Genomic DNA, 26527 nt, shown 5'->3' with positions numbered 1-26527 from the left:
CTCTTGACTCCACTAAACCAGATGAGGCTATTAGTGTCCCTACTTTTATCTCCTCTTATTTTTTTTTATTTTGTTTTCTGAATTTTGCTAGCACTACCTTCATTTTCATATCATCAGATTTATCACACATACAGTTCATTTTACAATCATAATTTAGACTTTTGGCTATAGTTTGATTCTGAAAGTTGAAAACAAGTAAGAAAAGCTTGCATTATTTTGACTTTGTAATGATCATCACTGCAAAACTATTGAAGTGACAAGATTCTGTTTTTTTCTCTGTGGGTTCAATAGTCCCAGGTTTTGTTCTACAGAAATAGAATGTGTGTCTAGTGGGAAGGTCAAGTTTCCAGTGGCTTCACTTTCTTTTTTTTTTTTTTTTTTATAATTATAGGTTAAGTTCTATGGTACATGTGCACAACGTGCAGGTTTGTTACATATATATACATGTGCCATGTTGGTGTGCTGCTCCCATTAACTCGTCATTTAGCATTAGGTATATCTCCTAATGCTGTCCCTCCCCCTTCCGCCCACCCCACAGCAGTCTCGTGTGTGATGTTCCCCTTCTTGTGTCCATGTGTTCTCATTGTTCAATTCCTGCCTATGAGTGAGAACATGCGGTGTTTGGTTTTTTGTCCTTGCGGTAGTTTGCTGAGAATGATGGTTTCCAGCTTCATCCATGTCCCCAGTGGCTTCACTTTTCTTATGCTCTATCAATTATTCCCTATCATGTCACAACCATCATTTCTTTGTGCAGTTTATTAAAAAATTTTCTTCCCAGAGTTTCTATTGCTTTGCTCTTTTCTTGTCGATAAGAGGAACATGTATTTTCTGTAGAATCAGTTACCTTGCTTACTATCTTTTGCAGAGATCATACCTGCTCTTTCCCCAGTCTGACTTTTATCATTTTGTAGGTGGGCTGCTGTTCTCTGGGATACTTCTTGGATCCTTTCATCTTTTGTGTCCAAAAATTTCACAAAAACATGCCTGATTTTCTTTTCAACCATTCATATTGCTGAATATGCAGCAGGCTCTTTCCTTCCTTCCTTCCTTTCTCTCTCTCTCTTTCCTTCCTTCCTTCCTTTCTTTTCTCTTTCTTTTCTCTCCCTTCCTTCCTTTCTTTCTCTCTCTCTTTCTCTCTCTCTCTTCCTTCCTTCCTTTCTTTTCTTTCTTTCTTTTTCTTTCTTTCTTTCTCTTTCTTTCTTTGTCTCTCTCTTTCTCTTTCTTTCTTTCTTTCTTTCTTTCTTTCTTTCTTTCTTTCTTTCTTTCTTTCTTTCTTTCTTTCTTGCGTTCACTCGTTCGTTCGTTCGTTTTTGACAGAGTCTCACTCTGGCAACCAGCCTGGAGTGCAGTGGGGCAAACTCTGCTCACTGCAACCTCCATTCCTGGGTCCAAGCGATTCTCCTGCCTCAGCCTCCCGAGCGGCTGGGGATTACAGACTCACGCCACATGCCTGGTTAATTTTTGTATTTTTGTGGAGACTGTTTCACCGTGTTGTCCAGGCTAGTCTCGAACTCCTGACCTCAAGTAATCTGCCCACCTCAGCCTCCCAAAATGCTGGGATTACAGGTGCGAGTCACCACACCCAGTCTTCAGCAGGCATTTTCAGTCTGAAGATTTTTGTATCCTATATCTTTGGAAATTTTTTTTCTGTTATTTTACTGATAATTTCGTCTCAATTATTGTTTTCTGTTATCTTTTTCCCCTTGATTGAACTTGTATGTCTTTACCAATTGTCTCATGTTTTTCATTTTTAAAATGAGGGATTATTTTACTTTCCAGGAAATGCTTTCAACTTATTCTTTTAGTTGTTTGTTATTTTGAACTACTTGATGTTCTTTTTCATTGTATTCTATTTTTATCTTATGGGTGTAATTTCTTCTTGAAGACTGATTAGATTCTTTTTAGAGTTCTGTGATTTCTGAAGTCCTTATGTTTCCCACTGAGTCTATTATTCCCTGTGTATATACCACCTCCTTCAACGTGCTCATTTTCCACAGATGTCTGATGACTCAGGTTGTACTTTCATATGTAAAGATGAAAGACAAGGTTGTTTATTCAGGACTGCTGGAAACAATTCACTCTGTTCTTGACTAGGTGGGTTTAGCTGTTCCATCGGTCTCTTGCTGGAATGAGAAGTATGACTGATAGCTCTGTGTCAGTGGGCAAGACTCGTTGGCTGGAAGATTTTGCTTTTAGATATAGAAATGGTGAGCTAGTCATCAGACTGGGTTTCTCCCACTCAAATGTTATGTTGAAGGAAGTTTTGCTTTGGGGAACCCATATTCATACTCTAAGCTTAGTCCTCCCTAGAAAATACTTTTTTTTTCCTTACACACACACACACACACACACACACACACACACACGATATGCAAAAACATTAGTGCCCCTGTTCATCATCCCTTTATAGTGCCAGCACATTGCTTGGCTCTGAATAAAAATGCAATAATTGTTTTAAATAACCATATAATAGTAACACATAGCTTTTATGTATTTGATTCTGAGGGTTCACCACTTATTAAGATATGCTCTCTGTACCCAAGCAGCTAATAGTCAGCTTCTAATGGAAGGAACAGATGTGTAAACAATCAGTATAATAAAGAGGGATAAGTGGGATAGAATGTGTTTTTATGAAGTGCTGAATTTATTGAGGAAGAGACATTAAGTCTGAGTGTGTGTGTGTCTGTGTGTGTGTGTGTGTGTGAGATATATATATATAAAGGAGAAGCTGCAGAGAAAAGGTGGCATTTCTAGAGGCAAAAGAACATATTGTCATATTGGTGGAACATAGAGCCTCTGGAGTCAGGCTGCTTGAATTTAAATCTTGCATATGTCAGTTACTGATTATCCTTGGATGAGTTATGCTCTCTTTGCCTATTTCATTTCCTGTAAAATGGGGATATGGTATTAGTCCTGACCTCATAGGGTTTTTGAAAATTAAATGAATTGATACATATAAAAGGCTTCAATGATCCCTCCCATGCAATACATGTTAGTTATTATTGTTATTGCTGCTATTTCTTGATGTGGTCTTGAATGATGAGTTCATAACCAGAGAATAGGCAGGTGGTTATTCTTGGGAAAATAAGCATTGTGAGTGAAGGCACAGGGGCATGAAAGTGCAGGCACATTTAGAGAGGGGAGACTGGTTGCATATGACTAGAATAAAACCATAATAAAACCAGAAAGGAGCTGGACAGATCCCAGGAGGCCTTGAGAGCCCACAAAGGAGCTGCTTACACAGCCCTTTGTTATTGTATTCTGGCTTGAGGTCCTGTTCACATAGTAACACTATTAATGGAGTTAGGGAATCTCTAACATACATAATTTCTAAAACCTCTGGGGACACCTTTTAATAGGTGGCATGAACTAAGTTGGGAACATTAAGAACTTATAGAAATATCTCTCTGAAGAAAACAAACAGGGAGGTGATAAGATTGAAAGCAAGAGCTCATTGGTCATATGTAAGAGGATTAGACTTCAAGGTAACTTTGAATTATGGAATCTTATCCAACGTGTGGAAGGTTTAGCAACGCAGAGTTTGGAAAGACATGGGGATGGGTTTTCTAGCCATACAGAGCCATTATCAGATATAGCAGCTCACCTGTGGGACAGTAGGTGTGGGATCACTGGAAGTGCCTAAGAAAATGCCAATGAGTGTTGACAAAGGGGTGGGGAAACGTGTGCCTGGGTGGGCCCATATTATCTAAGGTTTCTATCCAAGTGCCTGTGTGTACCTGACCTCTGGGCCAGAAACCATTTCTAAGTTTCTCCAGCTGCTATCTCAGCACTATAGGTATGCGGTTTCCCTTTGTTTTAGAAGTTTCAATACTGAAGGGAAGGACTGGTTTAGTGCAAGCAATGAGGCTGGGATCAAAGCTCTAAGGTCATCCTTGTTTGCCATACAATTGAGATGTCTGCCCAACCCAGGCCAGAAAATATCTTTAAAAAATGCATAGTCCACTGCTTCCCAGCCTCTGATTATATACGGCCTGCATTCTTTCCAAAGATCAAACTGTATTTCCTAATCCAATCCAGCCACCTTTCTCTGCTCTACCACAATAACTCCCAATCCTTGCCTCGTGGGCTGGGAGGGTCTTTACAAGTACCCACTTCCACGAAGCCTGGGCTGAACAGGAAAGACAGGGCATGCTGAATTGTTTGCAAACCCAGCTCCTACTTTATCCGCCTCGGCTTATTTTAGGCCTTCATCTGAGGAATAGAGTGCTTTTTAAATAGTTGCTGTTATGTCTGTACCTAGAAGTTCCCACCAGCCATCATTTTTCATTCTGGAAGCTTTTACAAGTCAGGTCTCGTCCTCAGAGATTCATTGGTATGCAAGACAGAAGCAAGCATGGAAAGCTTCAAACGATGTTGCCTTGAACAGATGCTTGGGGGCTTGCATAAGTCTTTAAAGAATACAATTAAAATGGTATTTCCACAGGAAGATAGAGAACCTGAGGAAACTGGAACGATTTCTCCAAAATCTGGCCAATGATCCTTGCTAAGGATACTGATTTGCCCTGTGTTTTATGCTGGACTATGCAAAATAAACACTGTGCACAAAGAGTACTAATTGCTTCATTTATTCTTCCATTTAGCCGGGGAAACATCAGAGCTTATTCAGTCTCAGAATGGAAAATTACATGTTGGAGAGAAAATAACCACACTGAAGGAATGACAATGCAATTCAGGTTCCACTTGTTCACATATTTTATTTATCCAGTGAAGGAAGAAAAAAAAAAGGGGGGGGGCTCTAAGGTGGCACAATTTTAAGAAAATACCATCCATTTTTCTCAGTCTAATCTGAATCCATACATTAAAACAAAAGTGCAAGTGATGAGATGAACATCTTGTTGGAGAACAAAGCATCTTGTTTGAGAATGAAAACCCTTTTTAAGGTTAATATCTACCAAGGGGTTCCTTATTTGAGGATGGCTTACTTTTGTTTTTTTAAAAATATGACAGCGTTGTATAAATTGCTGGGGTTGGATATTTAAGGGTAGATGGTGTGAAGGCTGCTGACTCAGTGAATTTCCAGGAGTCTCATTCTGAAAGAATCCCACCATGGTGACAGCCACAAAAACATCACAAACATCTGTTGGGGAGCGACTCGATGACACATGGCAAAAATGGAATCTCAGATGTTTGGGTAATGAGAGCCCAGACATATTGTGATCCAGAACTCCCATTATACAGAAGGGGAAAATTAGGACTGAGAGGTTAAATAATTTCCCCAAGATCACACAGGTAGTAGAAGGAACTAAAACTTCCTGGTTTCTAATTCAGTACTTTTGAACACTGCATAAATAGATGCTCCTAAAATTAATTTTTTTTGGTCAAGATTCTAAAGTTGGCAATTTTAGCTTTTTAAAAAAAATTGGACAGCAAGATCCTGCCTCTAAAAAAAATTAAAAAAAATATTAACTGGGGGTGGTGGCAGGTGCCTGTAGTCCCAGCTACTTGGGAGGCTGAGGTGGGAGGATCGCTTGAGCCCAGGAGTTCAAGGCTGCAGTGCGCTATGATTTCACCGCTGTACTCCAACCTAGGCAAAAGAACAGCACTTCATCTCAAAGGGAAAAAAAATGGAGAAAACAAAAAGATTTGTGAATGCTGATAACTTTGTATCCAATGTCAGGAACCTCATGTCAAGATACAGTCTAAAAACTCATGTTCGGCTCAAAATCAGAGAATTCCATGTTTCTATGAACACATATGACAAAATCTTACACATAGTGAGACAGGAATGGAAGACAGCACCACGCAGAAAACATTAGATAAACCAATATTAGAAAATAAAATGGACCACATTAGCCATTGGTGAGCTGGTCTAAACTGTTCGGCACTTTCAAACAACACGGAAAATAACACAAAGTCACGATCTATGAAAGAGGAGTTCCAGGGGTTTTCTGGTGGCCGGGTACAAGGAAGCACCCATCTTAAGCAGCTGGATGCATGTGCACAGGCTTAGGCATGGCACCGCCCTCCAGCAGAGCTGCCTGAACTGAGCAAGTGTGAGTCCACCCATTATATTGCCCACAGCTGAACACAGCCCTAGGGCAGTCAACGCCAAATCTTCTTTATCTCGAAAACTGGCCTGCTCTTTTTAACCACGGGCATAAATCAGACAAGAAGAACTGGGGTGGGAAAGGTTTCAGGTTGCCAGTAGAGGCTGGACATTTTGAACCCTGGACAAAGTGACTGGAATCTTTGTTTCCCCTGGCCCTGGAGCTTTTGTAACCGGCTGGGTGTGGGCTTTGATGTCTGCGATTCGTTCTTTAAACTTCTGCTGGAGGAATTTTTCTTCTTTGGAGTAGCTCTTTACAAACACCGACATCAGCAGGCACCCTGCCATGGACGTGCCTCCAATGCAGAAGAGAACAGCTCCTGCCAGCTTGTACATGTCCAGAGCACTGTTAAACTGGACAGCATGTGTGTCGACCACCACAAAATCGGCTTCGCCAAATGCTTCGATTTTGGGGGGCACAAGAAAGCCCACTGCCAGAACAGTCAATCCGAGGATCACAAAAACTGTACCTGAGATGAGTCCAACCTACAGGTAGATAATGACAGAAGCAAGATAGAGTGAGGAAGGTGCTTCGGCTCGCCCCTGAGCCCTCAAGGGCAGCACTTGTCTTGTTTCTTGAGAGAAATGAATATTCCCAGTTACCCCAAATTTGCAGGAAACACTTACTTAATTTTCTGTTGAAAAAGGTGAAAGATGATCTTTCTAATTTTAATGCCAACCAAAAACTCCAGCACTCAGCCTTGAGATATATGTATATATCATATATATATATTATATATCTAAAGATATACATATATTGTATATCTAAAGATATATATATAATCTTTATATTATCTAAAGATATATATAATCTTTATATTATCTAAAGATATATTATATATAGCTAAAGATCTATATAATATATATGTCCAAAGATATATATATTATATATTATATGTCTAAAGATATGTATATTATATATATATCTAAAGATATATATAAAATATATAATATATATTATATACCTAAAGATATATATTATATATAATATATATCATATATCTAAAAGTAGATATGTAATATGTAAATATATATATAAATATCTTTTTTTTTTAAATTTGTACAATGCTTTGCAGTTGACAAAACCTTCTTTTGCTTACATTGTCTCATTTGGTCTTGAGGAAAAGAAGAGTAGCCCTGATATCCAGGAGCTGGCCTTACTCTGTCCCCTAGGCCTCGACATTGTTAGAAGCTGGCTAGGAGCTCACAGCAAGGCCATGCTGTTCTGCCAGGCACCATCTCACAGAACATTAACACATGCTCATTCTGTGACCATGATGAAGTGAGACAAAACAGTAGCCCTTCATAACTTTGTCTAAGCACAGACAAAAACAAGGTCCTTGTAAAAACCACAAAATACGACATGACCCCCGCTCCTGGCTAATATGAATGACACCTACTTCTTTCTCATGATGGCTTTAGTCTCACTCTAGTCTGTCCTCTCTATACATAAGATATATTAAGATATCCAATCATAGAATTGTCCCTAACAATCCAGAGTGAACTCTTGCTTCATTAGACCCTCCCCAAAATCACCCAACCAGAGCCCACATCCTATAATATTATACATCCTTTTCACACTCTCATATTGCAATGCCCCACAGTCCCCTATGGTGACATTCTTTCTTACTGTAATGAGTAATACATCCAACTTGTTCAACATATAGGTGTGTTCCTGGTGGTTTTGGCTGGAGGACATGGACAGTCTTTGTAACTACTCACCTCTTTTCAAAGTAAGCAGAGAAGGAACCTTAATGGCCAGTTAAGGTAAAGAAATGTAGCGTCAGAGAGGGTAAGTCATGGACCAAAGATGGACAGCTAGCAAGCTGCAGAGGCAGGGTTAGAACCCACAGAGCTGATCCCCAGGCCAGTGTTCTTTCTCCTCTCACATGTAGCTATTTGGGGTATACTTGTGCAGGTGCTAGGAAGTGTTCAGAATAGCAGATGGAGGTTAAACTGCATTAGCTCAAGTTCTAATGAAATGTAACATACTAAAGATGGAAATGATGTACCATTTGGTGGTCAATGCCCATAGGTTTGAAATAAATGGACGCATGCTTCGATTCTACCACCACCACCTAGCACTTGAATCATAGAAGGAAAGTTACTTAAAAGCTCTTGTCATTAATTTCCCCATCTATAAAATGACAAATGCTCATAATACCTACCTCATAGAGGACTTGTGAGGACTAAATGAGACTATCCATAAAAGCACTTAGCCTTGTATCTGGCAAAGTTATACATTGTATCTGGCAAAATTATAAATTGTAATAAGTAGCTATTCTTCTTATTTGGAAAGACACCCCTTGAAAAATTGTTATGCTACATTGGTAACAGTATTACGATTGCTCAGCACTTGGAATAAGGAATAGCTAACACCATTACTTTTTAAAGTAATTTTTCCTTTCCTTCTGTTCTTAATTGCTTTTAGTTAGAATAACAAGGTTAGGAAAATAACCAGATACATAACATAAATTAATCTTTAATATTTAAATTTTTGAGATAATATACTAATAAAGGAGGCTTGGCTAATAGAAGGAAAACGTATCCACAAATCTATCACCCTAGCAAAAATGGGAAAAGTATAACTGGTATTATTGAACATCTATTATGACCTGCACTAATGCTAGATGTGTTTTTTGTTTAATCTTCACAAGCATCTTATGAGAAGTAGGTATTTTTATTCCAATTTCACCTATAAGAAACTGAGGATTATAAGGTTAAAGAAGCATACTTTAGCCGGGCATGGTGGCTCATGCCTGTAATCTTAGCACTTTGGGAGGCCAAGGTGGGTGGATCATCTGAGGTCAGGAGTTTGAGACTGAGAGGTGAAGCCGGCTGGGCTTCTGGGTCGGGTGGGGACTTGGAGAACTTTTCTGTCTAGCTAAAGGATTGTAAACACACCAATCAGTGCTCTGTGTCTAGCTAAAGGTTTGTAAACTCACCAATCAGCACTCTGTGGCTAGCTAAAGGTTTGTAAACTCACCAATCAGCACTCTGTAAAAAACACACCAATCAGCGCTCTGTGTCTAGCTAAGGGTTTGTAAATGCACCAATCCACACTCTGTAAAAATGGACCAATCAGCATTCTGTAAAATGGACCAATCAGCAGGATGTGGGCGGGGCCAAATAAGGATATAAAAGCTGGCCACCCGCGCCAGTAGCCGCAACCTGCTCTGGTCTCTTTCCACCCTGTGGAAGCTTTGTTCTTTCGCTCTTCACAGTATATTTTGCTGCTGCTGACTCTGGGTCCGCACTACCTTTATGAGTTGTAACACTCACTGCCAGGGTCTGCGGCCTCATTCTTGAAGTCAGAGAGACCAGAAATCCACCGGGAGGAACCACTTCTGGACACAAGACAAGCCTGACCAACATGGTCAAACCCCATCTCTACTAAAAATACAAAATTAGCCAGGCATGGTGGGGCATGCCAGTAATCCCAGCTACTTGGGAGTCTGAGGCAGGAGAATCACTTGAACCTGGGTGGGTGGAGGTTGCAGTGAGCCGAGATCACATTGTTGTACTCCAGCCTGGGCAACAAGAGTGAGACTCTGTCTCGGGAAAAAAAGAGAGAGAAAAAAAGCATAGTTGAGGATCCCAAAAATAGCAGGTGGTGTGACTAGTTCTAACCCAGATCTGTGTGATTCCTGCTACCCATGACTTTTCTTCTGCCCATAATACTTCGCCATTACTATTTTGTATATTTCTTTCTATTATTTTTATTTGAACCTCAAAGGAGTTTTAGCCACCATATGTGAACAAATTTCCAGTATCTCATATTGTAAGGAAACTGAAAAAGAGTCAATAGGATGTCTTCTGAAAAAAAAAAAAAAAAAAAAAAAGCTGTTCTGTATAAGACATAAGTGCTACGGGAAAAATTGGGCTGTAAAATATAACATTTTGGATTGCTTTCTACATTTTTCTAAAAATGGTGGCAAGTACATTTACCTTCCAAGACTAACCATTATTTATAACTTTTAGAAAATGACTCATATCAGAAAATTCTGAATGTACAAGCAAAATTGATTTAACTATCCATGGTGACATGCTTCCTATGTCACTAAACTAACTCCCTGCTGAAGAATTGGCATTAATTATCAAAAATTGAGGGTAGCCGAAAGTTATCTTAGTTTCTGAGATTCTGAAGAGCAAGTGAGACCAGTGTGTGTCTGTCTTGCCTCCCCACAGCTCTTATTCCAGCCTGACACTCAATAAACCGTCCTGCCTGCCTAACTTAAACCATCAGACTGCTGAACACAGAGCCAGGTGATTGATTCTCAGAGCAGTCTGCTCCTCAGCTGAGCAGTGCTTTCGATGAAAATCCACTCCTGGACTATCATTCAGAAGCTAAAATGCAAACCATGGCTTTCAGATGGCAGAATTCCTGTTCACTTGAAGAACTGGAACGTGGCTAGGCTTTCTGAGCATTCTCCTCTTTTCTATTGACATCAGAGAATCAGAGAGAGGCTCGCCCTCTGTAGTGGGGAAGACAGCACAGTGAACAGCTGACTTCAAGGCTTCTGAAGGGGCTGTTAATGCCAGTCTTTAATGAGAATCTCTGAGAGATGCACCCATTGGGGAATTCCAGACATGTTAAAACATGGGAGGGAGAGCGTGGGATGATAGGTACGAAGGAGTCTCATGAGTAGCATATGGGAGGTGAGGAGAGCAGTTGGGACTCATCAGCTTAGTCTTGGTACCATGCTGAGTACTGGAAAGGATAAAAATTGAGGGAGCAATTCCATACAGTATCATAAAAATTATCTCTGGACACAGTTCAAAGTCGAATTGGTCCCAGGTCTAACAGAAAGAGGACTCCCAAATGGAAAGAGTCAAAAAATTGCAATGCAGAGGTTGTTTAAAGTTCTGAGGAAGCAAAGCAGCCTCGTTTAGGGCCACACAGAAGAGTTGGAATGCTTTGGAAGGGTCCTCCTCCAGGCTCAGCAGAGCAACCTGGGGCCTTAGGGTGGTAAGGCCAATCCCAATGGCGACAGAGAAGGGCCTCTCCAGGTGGTGACAAACTCCCGAAACAGCAGCGAGGACAGTTTTTGTGCTGTAACTTCCGATTCCACTCTTGGCTGTGGGAGGATGTGTGAAAACCCAGTTCCTGCTGCTGGAAAGGAAAATTGGAAAGGAAAGAGAACTTATTTATATGCCAGAAATTCTGCTGGTGGGGGCTACAGGCCAGAGACTGCTGTTATTTTGACCAACATCCTTTCATTGTTTCCCAGTGAGCTGATGAGGCCTGAAAATGCAGTTTACTCCAATAGACAGAGCTGGCAGCAGTCGCGGCGCAGCTGTTCTGGCAGAGACGAGGCAGGAATGACTGTTGGAAGCGCGAACCTGCGTGGCTGGGAAGAACGGCCTGGCGTGCGGGGAATGCTGGATGGAGCTGCATGTGCAAGGCGCCATCTGGGTTAGAGGTTATTTAGGGGAAGCGCATCAAGAGCGAAGATGGGCTTTTTCTTCTGCATCAGCCCTTGAGGGCTGTGCTGACCTCTCCTGAGCTCTGAGCGGTGATGTCTGCCAGCAGCAGTGGCAGACTGTAGCTCATCTGTCCCTGCTTGCCTCAGCTTGACACTGAGCTTTATGAAGCAAGAACCGATGCCTGGCGATAATCGAGGTCCTTCCATAGACTGACCTCACAATCTTCTTAGACCCTTTCACCTGGGCAGTGAAATCACATCAGCTCTTCCACCTAACAGAGATTCCTTCTTCCAGCGCATAAACACATTCAACTGCCTCCATCTTCGAAAGCAATTCTCCAGCTCTGCGTCCCTTTCTTCCTACTCCTCAATGTCCGTTCTACCCTTGACAGCCACGCTTAGTCTTCCACGATTTCCTTAAACCTGCTTCTCCGAGGTTACAAAGGACCTCTTAATTGTCAAATCTAATGTCAAATCTAATTTATTTTTTAGGCTCACTTAAATATTCTACGTTCATTGATATTAAACACTTATACTTTCTTGAAACCCTTCCCCGTGGTTATCTCTGACACACTGTTTCCTCTGTGTATCTCTGCTCCAAACAACTCACTGTCAACCTGCTTTGCTGGATGTTCTTTGTAAATTATTAGTATTCCCCAGGATTCTACCCTTCCCACCTTTTTTAGAGACAGGGTCACTCTCTGTCATTCAGGCTGGAGTGCAATGGTGCAATCATGGTTCATTGCAGCCTTGAACTCTTGGCCTGAAGCAATCCTCCCTCCTCAGGCTCCTGAGTCCTCTGGGATTATAGGCACACACCACCACGTCTGGTTCAGGAGTCTATCCTTGACCTCCACCTATTCTTATTCACTATGTTCTCTTTAGCGTTTAATTGGAAGCTACAGTTTCAACTCCCACCTGTTACCAGTGACTTCCAAACCTCCAACTCCAGCCTGGATCTCTGTTTTGAGCTCTAGACCATATTTCTGACAACCAACAGGAAAATCTACAGAAAAATGTCCCAAACACTCCTCAAACCCAAAAGAGTAAAAATGGTGCTCTGCCACTTCCTTCCCATTTTCTCTATTTGCGTTCTTCCCATCCACCCATTCGTGAAATTGTTCCTCACAGTCATAGTGGTGGATATTAAATCTTAGTCACTCTATCTCATAAAAATCTCTTGAATCTTTTCTGTCTCGTCCACTGCAGCCACTCTAATGGTGCGGGCCATTATTATATCTTGCCTGGATCATTGCAACAGTGTCCTGATGATCTCCATTGCTCCATCCTTCAAAGGCAATCTGAGAAATCTTTTATAAACAGAAATTATACCACATGGCTTCTCTTCTTAGTAGTCTTCCACAGGACATTATGTCAAGTGAAATAAACCAGGCACAGAAAGACAAATATCTCATGATCTTCCTTATATGTGGAATCTAATAAAGTTGAAATCATAGAGGTAGAGAGGAACTGGGAGGGAGTGGGAGAGGGGATTGGGAAGATTTTGTTTAAAAGATACAAAATTTCAACTAAGAGGAATCAATTCAAGAGACCTATTGTACAACATGGTGACTATAGTCCATAAGACTGTATTGTGTTCTTGAAAATTGCTGAAAGAATAGATTTTAAGTGTTCTTACCACAAAAAAGGATGTGAGGTAATGTACATGTTAGTTTGAGGTAGTCGTGCCACAATATATATGTATTTCAAAACAACATGTTGTACATGACAAATATATACAATATTTATTTGCGATTTAAAAAGCAGAGTCTTCCACAGCTCCTCTCATCTCTAGTATAAAACTAACTTCTCAGTATCTAGCAAAACTTTGAAGGAAAAAACAAGGACTTAAGTTTAAACTCTGACTTAGCTCAAGAGGGGGAACTGGAGAGGTCAGGGCAGATAGGAGGAACTTAACCTGGGTCTTGAGAGGAAAGAGAGGGACCGGAGTCACTTTCACAGTTTGTAAGGCTGTGGAGGAGGCGGTCACACCTTGCACCTGCACATCGCCATTAAATGCCTCCATGACATATTAACCTCTGACATAGGCTGGTACAGGTTTCTGAGAGAGGTCGAGGAGAAGGCAAGAAGATAACCCTGAGGTGAGGAGGGAATGACTGGGGGTGAGAAGACTGCTCCCATTGGTTTGACACCTACATATGACGCTGTTTGCTGCGTGGACAATCAAGTGGCAACAGCCTTAGTCAAGGTCAAAGGCAAAGATATGAAAAAAAATTCCACCATAGCCTGATTGATTTTGGGGCAGCAGCAATGGGTGATGGGACTGTGTTACATCGATTTTTATAGATGGCATCAGCTGCAGGCAGTGGGATAAATTAGAAGTGGCTGAGGTAGTCATGCAGCAACCTAGGACCTCTGAAGCACAGAGAAAGTGTGCGGCACTCTGTGTATGTGTGTGTTTGTGCGTGTGTGTGTGTTTATACCTGATTATGACATCCCAACTATGAAAGCCTAGATTCATTATCTTGCCCCCTCACTGTATTCAAGCTGAAATGTTACGGAGAAATTTCTATTACATGGCCTTTCAGAGTCTTCTGTGAACTGGCTTTTGTATGCATTCCCAGGTTCAACTCCTGACTCCTCTTCTTCAACTTTTGAACATTTACCCCAGCCACAGGGAACTCTTTGCAGTCTCCTGAACATGCTGTACTCTCCCATGACTCTTAGCTTTTGCAATACTTTTCTCTCTACTGGGATGCCCCGTTCCTGCTTTCTCACATGTGACCTCCTCTTGGAGCCATTTCTTCCCTAGTCTGCATCAGATACCCACTCCACCCTGCCCCTCTGTGCTCCCAGTAAGTATTGTGCCTGCTTTAAGGGGAGCATTTAGTATATTGCATTATAACAATCTGTGTACCAGGAAGGGGAACATCATACTCCGGGGACTGCTGCGGGGTTGGGGGAGTGGGGAGGGATAGCATTAGGAGATATACCTAATGTTAAATGACGAGTTAATGGGTGCAGCACACCAACATGGCACATGTATACATGTGTAACAAACCTGCACATTGTGCACATGTACCCTAAAACTTAAAGTGTAATAATAATAAAATTAAAAAAAAACAACAACAATCTGTGTACATGGCCACCTCCCCTATTTGATTGTGAACTCCTTCAGGTCAAGGGCTATATCTTATTCAGAGGTGAAGAAAAGATCTTCTTCATATTTGAAGAATATTTGTTCACCTCTGAAAAAGAAGATCTTATTTACATCAGAATCCCAGAGCCTGGTGAATGTTGGACAGCTACACATTTGAAGAAAGAGAGGAAGAATGATACTGTGAAATAGATGTTATGCAGATGCATGCAATAAAGATTCTAACTCAGACCCATTTGATTTCAATCTCCTTTCTCATTAAGTCTTGCCATGCTGCCCACTGCTGTAAAGATGCCTCAAGAGCAGAGTCCTATCAAAGCACTGTGAGCACAGCCCCCAGTGAGAGGCCAACATGACTCTTGCAACACTACAGTGGAAGCAGGGAAAGGAGAAGCCAGCAATTTGAACCACCTACAGATGCAATTTGATTGAAAGAAAAAAACATGAAAAAGAATCATAATAGAAACATGAGCATAGCTAGTGCTTTTTCCTGTGTTGGTACAAAGCACTTCATAAATCCACTGGCATGAATTCACTCATATTCCTTAGGAGGAAACCCAGGAACAGTTGGTTTATCCCTTGATAGAGATGAGGTCTCTAAGACAGTGAATTCCTAGGTCAGTCAGGTTGACACTAGGCTTCTTGTGTTTTGTGGCTAAGGTATACATCTAGGACTCCAGCACAGCAGTAAATAAATATTTTTGGATCTTGTTTGTGCAAAATAGAAGGGAGAAAATAATGAAATATGAATTCTGGGGTTGGTAATTCACTGTGAGTTATTTGTTGTAAACCCATAACTATGTTTTATTTGATGGGTTTACAGCTTCACAAATCACATAACAACCAGTGCTTTGAAGTTCCATGAACACTTACAATATTCTGTGTGTCAGTGGCATTTTGAGCTCTTGGCACAACAGATCTGTCAGGCAAATGCTTTTTTTTTTTTGACAAATAGGGAAACAACCACCCACATATCTGGGTAAATACAAGATGTGCCAAGCTTGGCTGTGCATTTCATTGGCTAAAGCCAGTAAGGATTCATCAGAGGTGAGATTTCTACAGGGCAAGGATGCTGACTTGACCAGTTCTGATGCAGAGTATGTGACAACAATATGACACTGAATTAACACAGGTCTTGGGTTATCCATGTTAACAACTGTGTTACTTAATACTTGATTTATTAACTATATTTCAACTTTTTTTCCCATTTAAGAACTCAGTGCTTCATACAGCAACCAGTAATAGTAGCTAATATAGCTAATGCTTATTAAGCACATACCAAGACAGTGTTAAGCTCTTTGTAAATACTATCTCATTTAATTCTCATATCTTTTATGTGGTTGGTGCTATAAGTATCACCATTAGAGGCCCCATAAGGCCAATTAATTTGCCCAGGGTTACAGAATGATTAAACAAAAGAGCTGGGGTTTGAGCTCATGTAGTCTGAGGTTAGAATCTATGTTTATAATTATTAGGCTATACAGCCTCTTGTTACACTATATGGCCAATAAATTGCAAGTTTATGTCAATATCCATGTCAAAAAATTCTGGGATCTTTTGGGAGAAACAAAGATTAAGGAAGACCTTAGGCATTATCTAAGGTTCATCTTCTCAGTATCCCTGAAGCCTCTTCCCCTTCTTAGTTTCTAAATGTTGGAATGTCCCAATGCCCTCTTCTCTTCTATGTCCACACTCTTCTCCTGGATGATCTCAGAAGTCTAGTGCCTTGTATAGATTCTATGTGTCAATAACTCCCAATTTATGAGCCGTAGATTGATATATTTAAATTGTCACTAGAGATCACTACTCCGATGTCTAATAGGCATAACCTTTACCTAAATCTGACTACTTTTCACCATCTCCACTAACGCCACCAGCATCTTTTGCCTGGGTACTTTAACACCCTCTAAATTTATCAACCTCTTCCAGTAGCTTCCCATGTCTCTCGAAGTAAAAACCCAAGACTTCACTGTGGTGTACAAGGCTCTACATAAATCATCTGTGCCTTGTTATTTTTCTTAATTCATTGCCTGTCCCTTTTCTCACCCCACTCCAACCAGATTGGAGACCTCTGGATCATTTTCAAACACACCAAACTTGTTCCCATTTCAGAGTTTTTGGACTTACTATTTTCCCAGTCTAGGATGACCTTCAGTCAGGTCTGTTCCCTCAACTCATCCTGGTATTCCTTGAGATGGCATCTCTTCTGAAAGCCTTCTACCATCAGCATATCCAAATACCAGTCTCCATCACCCCCTGTCATCCATAGCACTATCACTACCTAACATTCTATCATGTGGTTTCTTTGTTTACAGCCTGTTTCCCATGATAGATTGTAAGCTCCATGAGGGAAGTCACTTTTTCTTTCCCTGTTTACCACTTTAACTTCCAGAACTTTGAACCCTCTTGGCACAGAGTAGATGCTCACTAATTATCTGTTGAGGGACTAAATACATTGTCTAATGAGATTCCTTCATTTGAGGAAGCTGGGGTCAGAAAGCCTCATGATCACACACTCGGTAGAGACGGAGCTGGTATACTGACCACTGTACTACATTTCATCATTAACTCTCTCTAAATACCTAATGATTTCTTTTTAATAATTGTTGCAACTTGTCAGATGATACTTACCACGCCTGTAAGGAAGGCTGAAAGAATATAATGTTTTGCCTATGGATGGCTTCAATTAGTGAATTTAATGGCACATTTTTAATGGTAGCAATAATAATAATTCATATGGCAATTGCACCTATTTATGTTTAATCTGCTCATCAATAGTTGTGCTGTGTTTAGAGGCTTTCTTTGGCCCAAGGTTTAGATTCTTCTTTCCTAAGGTAAGAAAAATGCATTTAGTATCACCAAGAGTGATGCACACACAGCGAGTACTAAACCTCTCCATCCTCCACAGCTGCAGTATTAACCATGTCCAATAATTTTTCCATTCCCTAAGTTAAACACATGCTCCTTCCTTACCTTCCAGAATACTGAGCTCCACCTGTTAGGTGATCTTTGGATCTGGAAATCATCCTCATACTCCCAAATTGAGGCTGTACAGTCCTCATAAAACTGGTGCAGGTAGGACCGGACTCCATAGCGCTGGTAACCACCCTCAGCTGCAGCCTGTGCCTGCCTGGACCCACAGACGTTGCTGCAAGAACTCATCCTTCCCAGCTGGAATGACAACATCCACATGGATTAATGCCACAGGCTTTGGCCACAGGATCAAAAGACATATGAAAGGTAAGAACCAGACTGAGTAATGTATGCCTAGTTGAACAATGCTCTTTTCATTACAGAAAAGGTACTTTTAAAGACCCCTCTCTCTTGGCGGGGCGCAGTGGCTCACGCCTGTAATCCCAGCACTTTGGGAGGCTGAGGAGGGAGGATCACGAGGTGAGGAGATGGAGACCATCCTGGCTAACACGGTGAAACCCTGTCTCTACTAAAAACACACACACACACACACACACACACACACACACACAATTAGCTGGGTGTGGTGGTGGGCACCTGTAGTCCCAGCTACTTGGGAGGCTGAGGCAGGAGAATGGCGTGAACCCGGGAGGTGGGGCTTGCAGTGAGCCAAGATCGCACCACTGCACTCCAGCCTGGGTGACAGAGTGAGACTCCGTCTCAATAAAACAAACAACAACAACAACAAACCTGTCTTTCTTATAAGCTGTTCTTCTTTTTTGCTTAATGCAAGATTACCTAAACACTCAATGACTAGAACTGCATCTCCATAAATGAAATGAGATACAACAGCACAACTCACATAAATTAGGTACACATTTAAGCATGAAGCACACAAGAAATGGCAACAAAGAAGCTGAGATTTTTTATTGCCTTGACAAGAAATCTTTAATCTCTTAGAATCTAGTTGTCTTTGCACTTACATGTTAAAGAATTGGGCAGGCATTCTCATTTGCTGAAGATGGAGTTTGTCTTAGACTGTCCTCTCAGATTTTTAACTATGTTTCCTTGTGGAATCTACACCGCATTACTCTTACTAGTTTGAAATTTTGCCTTCCGATCTCATGTATCTTCCTCTGACATTTTAACTAATTGTCAAGTTGTATGAAGCTTTATTAAAAAGCTGCTGAGCAATTTATGCCTCATGCTTTATTAATCACAAATGGCTTGGCCAATAATTTACACCTCACTAACTCTAACACCATATATTTTACCCATTGTTTGTGGATACATCTGTCCATGTGGGTGGCTAGAGTATAATGTGGAGAGTGGACACAACCTTTTATTATTTTCCATGAAGTGTCTACTGTAAGTAAGAACTCAGAGAACTGTTAAATAAAACTATGTCCTAGGCAGGTTGTTTTGGGTTCTGCCTTTTTAAGATGGAAATTTCTACTTTATTTGACCTAATTGATACCCTTAGAGAGAGGCATTTATATGGATTTTGTTACTAATCATGGTTAAAAAAAAGAAAGAATTACTGAGTGACAGTAATTTTGTTGAATAAGGGAATTGTCAGTTATCGTCTTAATTTCTGATCTCCATATAAGCAAATAAATGTATAGCTGGAAATGTGAAATACGTGTTTGGATTTTTAAATTATCCTGTACACAGATGGTAACACAGTGACACAGGGAGGGGAACATCACACACCTGTCAGGGGGTGGGGAGCAAGGGGATGGAGAGCATTAGGACAAATACCTAATGCATGTGGGCCTTAAAACCTAGGTGATGGGTTGATGGGTGCAACACATCACCATGGCACATGTATACCTATGTAACAAGCCTGTACGTTCTGCACATGTATCCCAGAACTTAAAGTATAATATTAAAAAGTGGAAATAATAAAAGAAATATAAAATTCTGAAAGAACTCTTTAGTCCACAATATAGCTGCCACACTGTTTGAATATAAATGAAGGTGGTTATTTTTGTGTTTTCAAATAAATCAGACTTCTTCCAAAAAAAATTATCCTGTAGATAGTTTTAGTTATGTGGACATAGTCTATACGTGACAAAGTGGGGAACAACATAGAAGGTTATTTTTCTATTAAGCCAGGTTTTCTCAGAGCTTGTGCTGTAATCCAGGCCAACAGAGGCATATTAAATGTTTCCAATTACTTATCAAGCAACCAGCTAGTAATGTTTATCTACAAAAGAAAAATATCGATCTACAGTCCCATCAAATGCCTATATGTGGCCAGTTAGTTTGATTGGATAGAATTATGGGGCTAAAATCAAAGTTGGAACCAGGGATAGTCAGCAATTCCTTGTGCAGTGGGCACAAAGTAAACCCATTAGCACATCTTTAAATATGTGCCCTTAGCTACACATGAGTTTTGGTTAAGAATGTAGTCAAATTGAGGAAAACATGGCCCTGGTCTTAGAAAAATGGTGCTATTAATGATGACCAATAACCTCATCTTTTTAGCTGTTGGTCAATTAAAACCAACTAACTGTTAGCTCCTGTGCTTTTTTCTGTTTCAGGTATAGCTACCATCTAAAGAAATCACCCAGGGAAAGAGTGCAGGGAGGCAAGAGTCTACACATACACACCCACACCTGCACTCCCCCACACACGAACACATTTGCTTTAAAACATTTAGAAAGATATGATTTCATAAAAAGTCAAGGTTTTTAGAATGTTCTTTGCCTGAGTAGAGCAGCAAAATCTGGCAGATCAAAAGAATATTAACCTAGTTTTAATATTTTAAGCACTAGGACGATCTCTTCAGTACCTTCTATTTAATGCTTATACAATGAAGATGATTAACAAGAGCCTATTACCATTGGTATATAAGTGGCATAATTTTAAAGGCATTTTCCTTTAAGGCATTCTAATGCAAATTTCAGTCCAGGTGAGATGGGGTTGGTATTACTAACTGCTTTGTCAACTAGGAAACTGAGGCATAGAAAAATCATCTACTAAAGGTTACACCATGAGTCAGGGAACAGATGAAAGATGACAATTAACACAAGAAGCAGGAGTATGGACTGAATCATATACTTGCATAGTCAGAACCACCTCCTCTAAATATATATTTTCAGATTTTCTATAAAGCATCAGAGACTTTAACATGAAAAAGGGACAAAAATAGATATGATAGGAATAAAAAAAAATCCCTCATAGCAACAGTAAGAGTTATGTTTCCTTAGATGCTGAAGTTGTTCTTTCCCAGGATTGAGCTTTGATGCAGAGAAGGACCGTGTGATATATTACAGCCATTCCCTGAACAGTTTGCTACCAGAACAGTAGGTTAAATGTTTCTGCTTTATGAGACCCAGTTGTCCAACTTTGTTAAAAACAATATAGGTCAAATCATAAAAGAGATAGAAAGTGTCATAAAACACATGTTTTTGAGCCTGAGTGATTGAAGGCTCTACTTGAAGCCATGGATTTTTAGCTATGTCAGCTACATTCCAGAAAAGGAATTCCAAAGCGCCTTACTTTCTCCTCCAGGGGCACAAAACATGAACAAGAACATGGTCTGTTTTGTGCTACCTAAACGGGGCAGAGAATGGACTTTACTGCCATTTTTTGATTTGCAACTTACTGGTCAGGAGATTCCAGACAAGCTCATTAGTCTCTCTGGGCTATGGTTTCATCATCCTTAAAGTAAGAGGGTTGGACCAGATTAATCTCTAATTCCTTCCAGTTGTAGCTTTTCAGGATTTTTTTTGTCTGTACGGAATGACTCTATCATTTTTTTATTGAACGAACAACTAGGTTTACTGATTTCCTACCTCCTTCCATATCCTTACTGACAGCTCAAATTCTTACTTTATACTAGTATGTATGCAGCTTCCCTTTAAAAAGGGCATATAACTAGTTAGGTTAGTTACTTGCTACTAGGTAGACTAAATGTTCGTATGTTGTTTAACAAGTTACTTCAGTATCACGTATGTTGCCTAAAATAGGATCCCCGAGGGTCTGACAGGTATCACACATCTTCCCAAACATATAACTACCTGGAATTCACTCCTAGAGAAGAATGACTTGGAAGAACATGAATTTTAAAATATAACATGTTAGAGTGATAGATTTGGACCTACAAAATCTCAACAGAGAGTTATACATCTCCTAGGGAAGTCAGTAACTTTTTGTCCCCATGTTACAGTTATTTGGAATCTTATTTGATTGATGGACACTTCTGGTATCATAAAAAAGGTATGTGAGGTCACATCATAAAGTCACTTTAAAGACTGGGCAGTTATTAAACTATATATAACAAACTAGAATTGAGACAGAAACAGAAGCTATGTGCAAAGGCTTTTTACTTTGGCTTATTATTTACTTAAAGATCAAGGTTTCATAAGATTTCTGATGTCTATATTTCAATAGCTGTAGTAGCAACAACAAAAAGGTTAAATCTATGATTGTTGTTAATGAACATATTTTAGAGAGCCTTTTTTATTTACAGAAAGCTTTAATATCACAGGAGGTACATGGATAGAGGGGATGAGTAAACACACTCTTTAGTATTATATTTAATTCAATCCAGAGTAAACACACTCTTTAGTATTATATTTAATTCAATCCACATTAGTCTTCATTCTGTAAACACTCTGATGGAGCCTGTTGCATCCTCCCTGCCAGCATGGCCATGATGATTGGGCACAAGCAACTTTTGTGTGTCATTGTTTGGTTATCTATGAAGAGAGAGTTGTTTTTATTCTCTCTGAAGGATGCTCTACTTGCTGATAAATGAGGATCCATCCATGGATTTCTTCTTTTTATAACCTGTCCATAGCAACTGTCTCAATTGCATGCACTGTTATACATTAAATGAATATTCAGTTCTTACCAACTCAGCACACCTATCATAACCCAGAGACATGAGGAGGGAAAAAAATTATGCTGCCACTCCCTATCAAATTCTTCTGAGAGGCTTTCTATAATCAATATATCTAAATATCAGCGTTCCATTACTTTCTATCCCCTTGTCTAGGTTTGTTTCTCTTCCTAGCACTTGTTACTATCTGATATTCTATGTGTGGTTTATTTACTTATGGTCTGATAGACCATATACATGATAGAGTGTAAGCTACATGTGGGCAGGGACATTTTCTGTACTGTTGACCACTTTAATCTCCAGTACTTTGAAACTTCCTGCAGAGTTCTACGTGGGTTGGTGTGGATGAAGGCCTGAGTAGTCCTCCATTTTTCATCCTCCCCTTCCTTCAGTGTTTTTAAAGCACTACGTGCCAGGCACCTGTGAGATAAATAATAGTTGTGAAGATGAGTGGAGCCAGGTCTGCCCTCAATGGACTCTTGGGTTACAAGGAGACACACTCATGAAGCAATAAACATAACAAAATGGGCATCATCAAGAGGTAAAGGGAGTACAAATGCTGAGAATTCCTTGAATAATTCCTGTATTAGGGAAACAAGCTCATGAATGTGCTATTGTGATATCACTATGTGTGCCAATAGACTGTAGTATCAATGTGTTGGAAATTTAAATTTCTGTGTAATATATGCAGTTACTTTTTATTTTCCTTTATAAATGTTCATAGCCTTGAAGCAGAAATAAATCTTTATGCCTCATGAAACTCTAAGAACATTACAGACATTATATTCTTTGTCTTCAAGGTCTCCTTGAGAGAAGAGAGGCAACAAATATGAGTGTTTTCCTGTGACACTATGTGTGAGTCAGTTGTGAGGCCAGGCACAGGCCCTGTTCTATTTATTTTCTTTGAAATATCATTCAATTTTTCATGCTGCTTTTCTCTCCCATAAAATGATTCTGAGATAATGAGACTGAGGTTCCCATTATAGCCACTTTTCCACAGGGCCAGTGCTGCAAAAGACAAAGTACAGGCACATAGACAATTTAGACCACTTATTCAACACCAAGCCGAAAGGTCAGTTCCTTAAAAGATTCAGTCAGACTCATAGGGGATACAGGAAGGCATGAAAGCCTGCTAACAGCTTTTTCACTTTTAAATCAGGCATTCTGAAATTATATAAGCATGTTCTTAAATCCTGAACCGTGTTCCTACCAATGGATTATTTCAGAGATATTTTATTTTTCTGAAACAGTGGTAGAGATTGTGGCTTTATATTGAGTTATTAAAATACCTTCAAAGTCAGTGGACATGCAACCACTTTTATAATTTTTAAAAAGGAGTAACAATGTAAGATTATCTTACTTGTTATCATTTACTTTAATTCTTCAAGATTCATTTTTTAGAAAGGTACATAAAATCCAAAGCTAAAATGAGAAAAGAACCCATATTCTCTTTTAATCTCTTCTTTATCTACATGCATACACAGGGTGCTTATGAATCTACATGTGATAAGGTTTGAGTCCTACCTTTGAAGTCCTCTTTTTCTTCTTCTTCTGGTTTACTCCTTGATCTTTCCTTTTAATGGCGCATTCTTCAATCCTATTTAAGAAAAAAGTCTCTGCAGAATGTAATCCAGATCAAAATCTAAATTTCATAAGTCATTCATATAACTTATAAAGAATCATTTTAATGTTCACAAAAGCATTGACAAAGAAATTCGTGTTTAAGAATTGAGATAGCTTTCTAAAAAACAAAAGTCTAAACTGTATTTTAGAACTTTTCAATGGGTTCTCATAATAATTTATAAAGTGAATGAGATGACATAAAAGGGCTTTGTAAATTATAACACACTATATATGTGCTATTCTCATTTTTACATAACCATATTCCATGTTGTTAGTAATTCCAAATAGGCTGGTCCATTTCTATTTTACAAATTCTAAATTTAAAAAAGTTCCTTGCTTCCTAGATACTTCAGAATGGATCTTTTTTGGTGCTTGGTCTTATAATGTAAAATATATGAGTCCTATAATCACTATATTTTCTGATATGTTTACATACATTTTACACTTCGTAAGGCTCTTTGGATGATTTACTTATTAGGCTGAGTTTTACTCCTATATCCGTTTTCTTCCTATCATGATCATTTTGCTTTCCAGCTGCCTAAGAAAAGCAGGTGCCCATGCAAAATTTGATTAAAAAGCCATTGCCAACTATAAGGCTGTTGGTTTCCTACATTACTCTAGTTATGTGAAATAAGATAATAACTGGGACCATATTTTTTATGGGATCATTAAGAATTCTTTCTAATGAACAGGTCCCCATTTGTTTGCAGGAGAACCTGAAGACTTGAGGTGAGTAAGCCTAGCTGAGGCCTGATAAACTGTTTTCAGCATTTCTAGGGTCAGCCTATATGGACCAAAGCCAAATCGTCAAGACCCATTTACTTTCCCCCAAATTTTGTGAGTGGTGTGTGGGCAGATTTGGGGGAAAGAAGCAAATTATATTAGCCTCCTGGATCTGGATAAGCAAACGAAAACAAGCCAATCATAGGTCACTAAATTCACTACATTCTCCTCTTCTTCCCTCCCCCAACACCTGCCCTCCACCCCCATCTGTATCTCTTTCTTTCCTGTCTCTCTCTGCCTCTCTGAATTACATTTCTCTTCTTTTTTCTGTCAGCTTCTCCATTTTCGCTGAAGATTCCCCACATGCCCTTCACCAAAGGCTGGCCTGATGTGGCGCCCAAGGAGCTCTCCAAGGTTCTGAAAACATTTCTGTTACAGTGCCAGGAACCAATCAAACAAACATTAGCTGTTAAATTCCAGCTCTGTTTTCTTTGAGGCCTCCAGACTCTGTCTGACCCCCACCCTAATGTTCCTGTCTAACAACACAAAGAAGTAGGTCCTGAGATCACGCCAAAACACTGAAACATCTTCAGACGTGGCACAGGAGTGGGGAGGGCCAGTGGGGGCTCAATTCAGCCTGATAAATAAACCAACTTTGCAAACTCTAGATACATATATTTGACTCTTTCCTAATACACAACTTTTCTTATCTTATGGAAAGGAAACTCTAAAGTTTTTAGCTGTACGCCCCTCGTGCCCCACCCCCCAAATTCTTACATAACACAAACCACAAACCACCAAAGCATGGAGCTAGCTCTTCCTAATTTGTATGTTTTCACCGATTTTAATACGCATGTTTTTTGTGGAGATTGGTGCACATATAATAAACGTGAATGAAGGAGGGAGGGAGAGAGAGAAAGAACATTTATGCATGAAGAAGGAGGAAGGAAAGAGAGAAAGGGAGGAGAGGGAGAACTGGAGAAAGACATTTGGAGAATAGAAAGCCGCCACCCCTGGACTCTGCGTGGCTTTACCTACCCCCTCCGATCCCCTGACCCGTGGAGCAAGTGCAGCCAGCCTAGCTGCAGATCTCTCGCTGGGGTCCCATCGCCGTCGCCACCGCCGCCGCTCCGCCTCGTAGAGCTCAGCCCGCGCCTGATTGACAGCTGGGAGTCCCGCGTGCCCGCGCACCCGAGGCCCGCGCAGCCGCCGCCGCCGCCGCCGCCTCCCCCTCCAAAGGGGCAGGGTTCCAGCTTTCCGAGAGCGGCGAGTGGGCGGGGCCGAGCTGTCTGGCGCGCCAGGCTTGTTCCTGCCTGCACCGTGAGGCTGGAGCTTCTGTTAGGGCAGCTGTCAGGGCCATGGAAGGCTGGTCACTGGGCCCTGCCGAGGCTCCCCAGGATGGGCACCTTCTCTGCCTTAGTGCTTCTTCAAAGCTTTTTTCTGCCCAGACCATATTTTGGTCGTAGAAGGCTGGTTCAATATACAGTTAGGCGTCGCATTATGATGGGGATGTGATACTCTGAGAAATATGTGGTTAGGCGATTTCGTCCTGCTAACATCATAGCGTGTACTTTCCCAAACCAAGGTGGTTCAGCCTACTACACACCTAGCTATATGGTAGAGCCTATTGCTTCTAGGCTACAGACCTGTACAGCATGTTACCCTCCTGAATACTGTTGGCAGTTGGAACACAATAGTAAGAATTTGTGTGTCTAAACATAGAAAAGGTACAGTGAAAATACCTTATGGAACCACCGTCATACATAGAATCTGTCGTTGACTCCAACATCACTGGGCAGTGCATG

The 26527-nt window shown here is 40.4% G+C and overlaps 1 protein-coding gene across 1 annotated transcript, besides 1 other annotated feature; it reads right to left on the bottom strand.

The window, feature by feature from the left end:
* Positions 1-4570: 4570 nt before the first annotated feature.
* Positions 4571-25886, bottom strand: NRSN1 (neurensin 1). Its single transcript, NM_080723.5, has 4 exons — positions 25761-25886; positions 23901-23973; positions 17585-17782; positions 4571-6553 (listed from the first exon to the last, which is right to left on the bottom strand). The coding sequence occupies exons 3-4, from the start codon at positions 17771-17773 to the stop codon at positions 6155-6157; spliced, it is 588 nt and encodes a 195-aa protein (NP_542454.3). The 5' UTR covers positions 17774-17782; positions 23901-23973; positions 25761-25886; the 3' UTR covers positions 4571-6154.
* Positions 25053-25253: a silencer, noted in NCBI's record as "peak5732 fragment used in MPRA reporter construct". NCBI's record gives its function as "represses an SCP1 promoter by STARR-seq MPRAs in K562 erythroleukemia cells {active_cell/tissue: K562}" and the evidence as "EXISTENCE:reporter gene assay evidence [ECO:0000049][PMID:32103011]".
* Positions 25887-26527: the final 641 nt, after the last annotated feature.

Source organism: Homo sapiens, chromosome 6 (genome assembly GCF_000001405.40).
Source record: "Homo sapiens chromosome 6, GRCh38.p14 Primary Assembly".
Lineage (NCBI taxonomy): Eukaryota > Metazoa > Chordata > Mammalia > Primates > Hominidae > Homo > Homo sapiens.
Note: the sequence above shows the minus strand (reverse complement) of the source record. Positions and strands in the feature narration are given on the sequence as shown.

Coding starts and splice junctions, on each gene's coding strand:
- NRSN1 (NM_080723.5), bottom strand. CDS start 17,773: ATGAGTTCTTGCAGCAACGTCTGTGGGTCCAGGCAGGCACAGGCTGCA. Junction 6,554..17,584: donor GGAGCTCAGTATTCTGGAAG/GTAAGGAAGGAG, acceptor ATCTACCTGTAG/GTTGGACTCATCTCAGGTAC.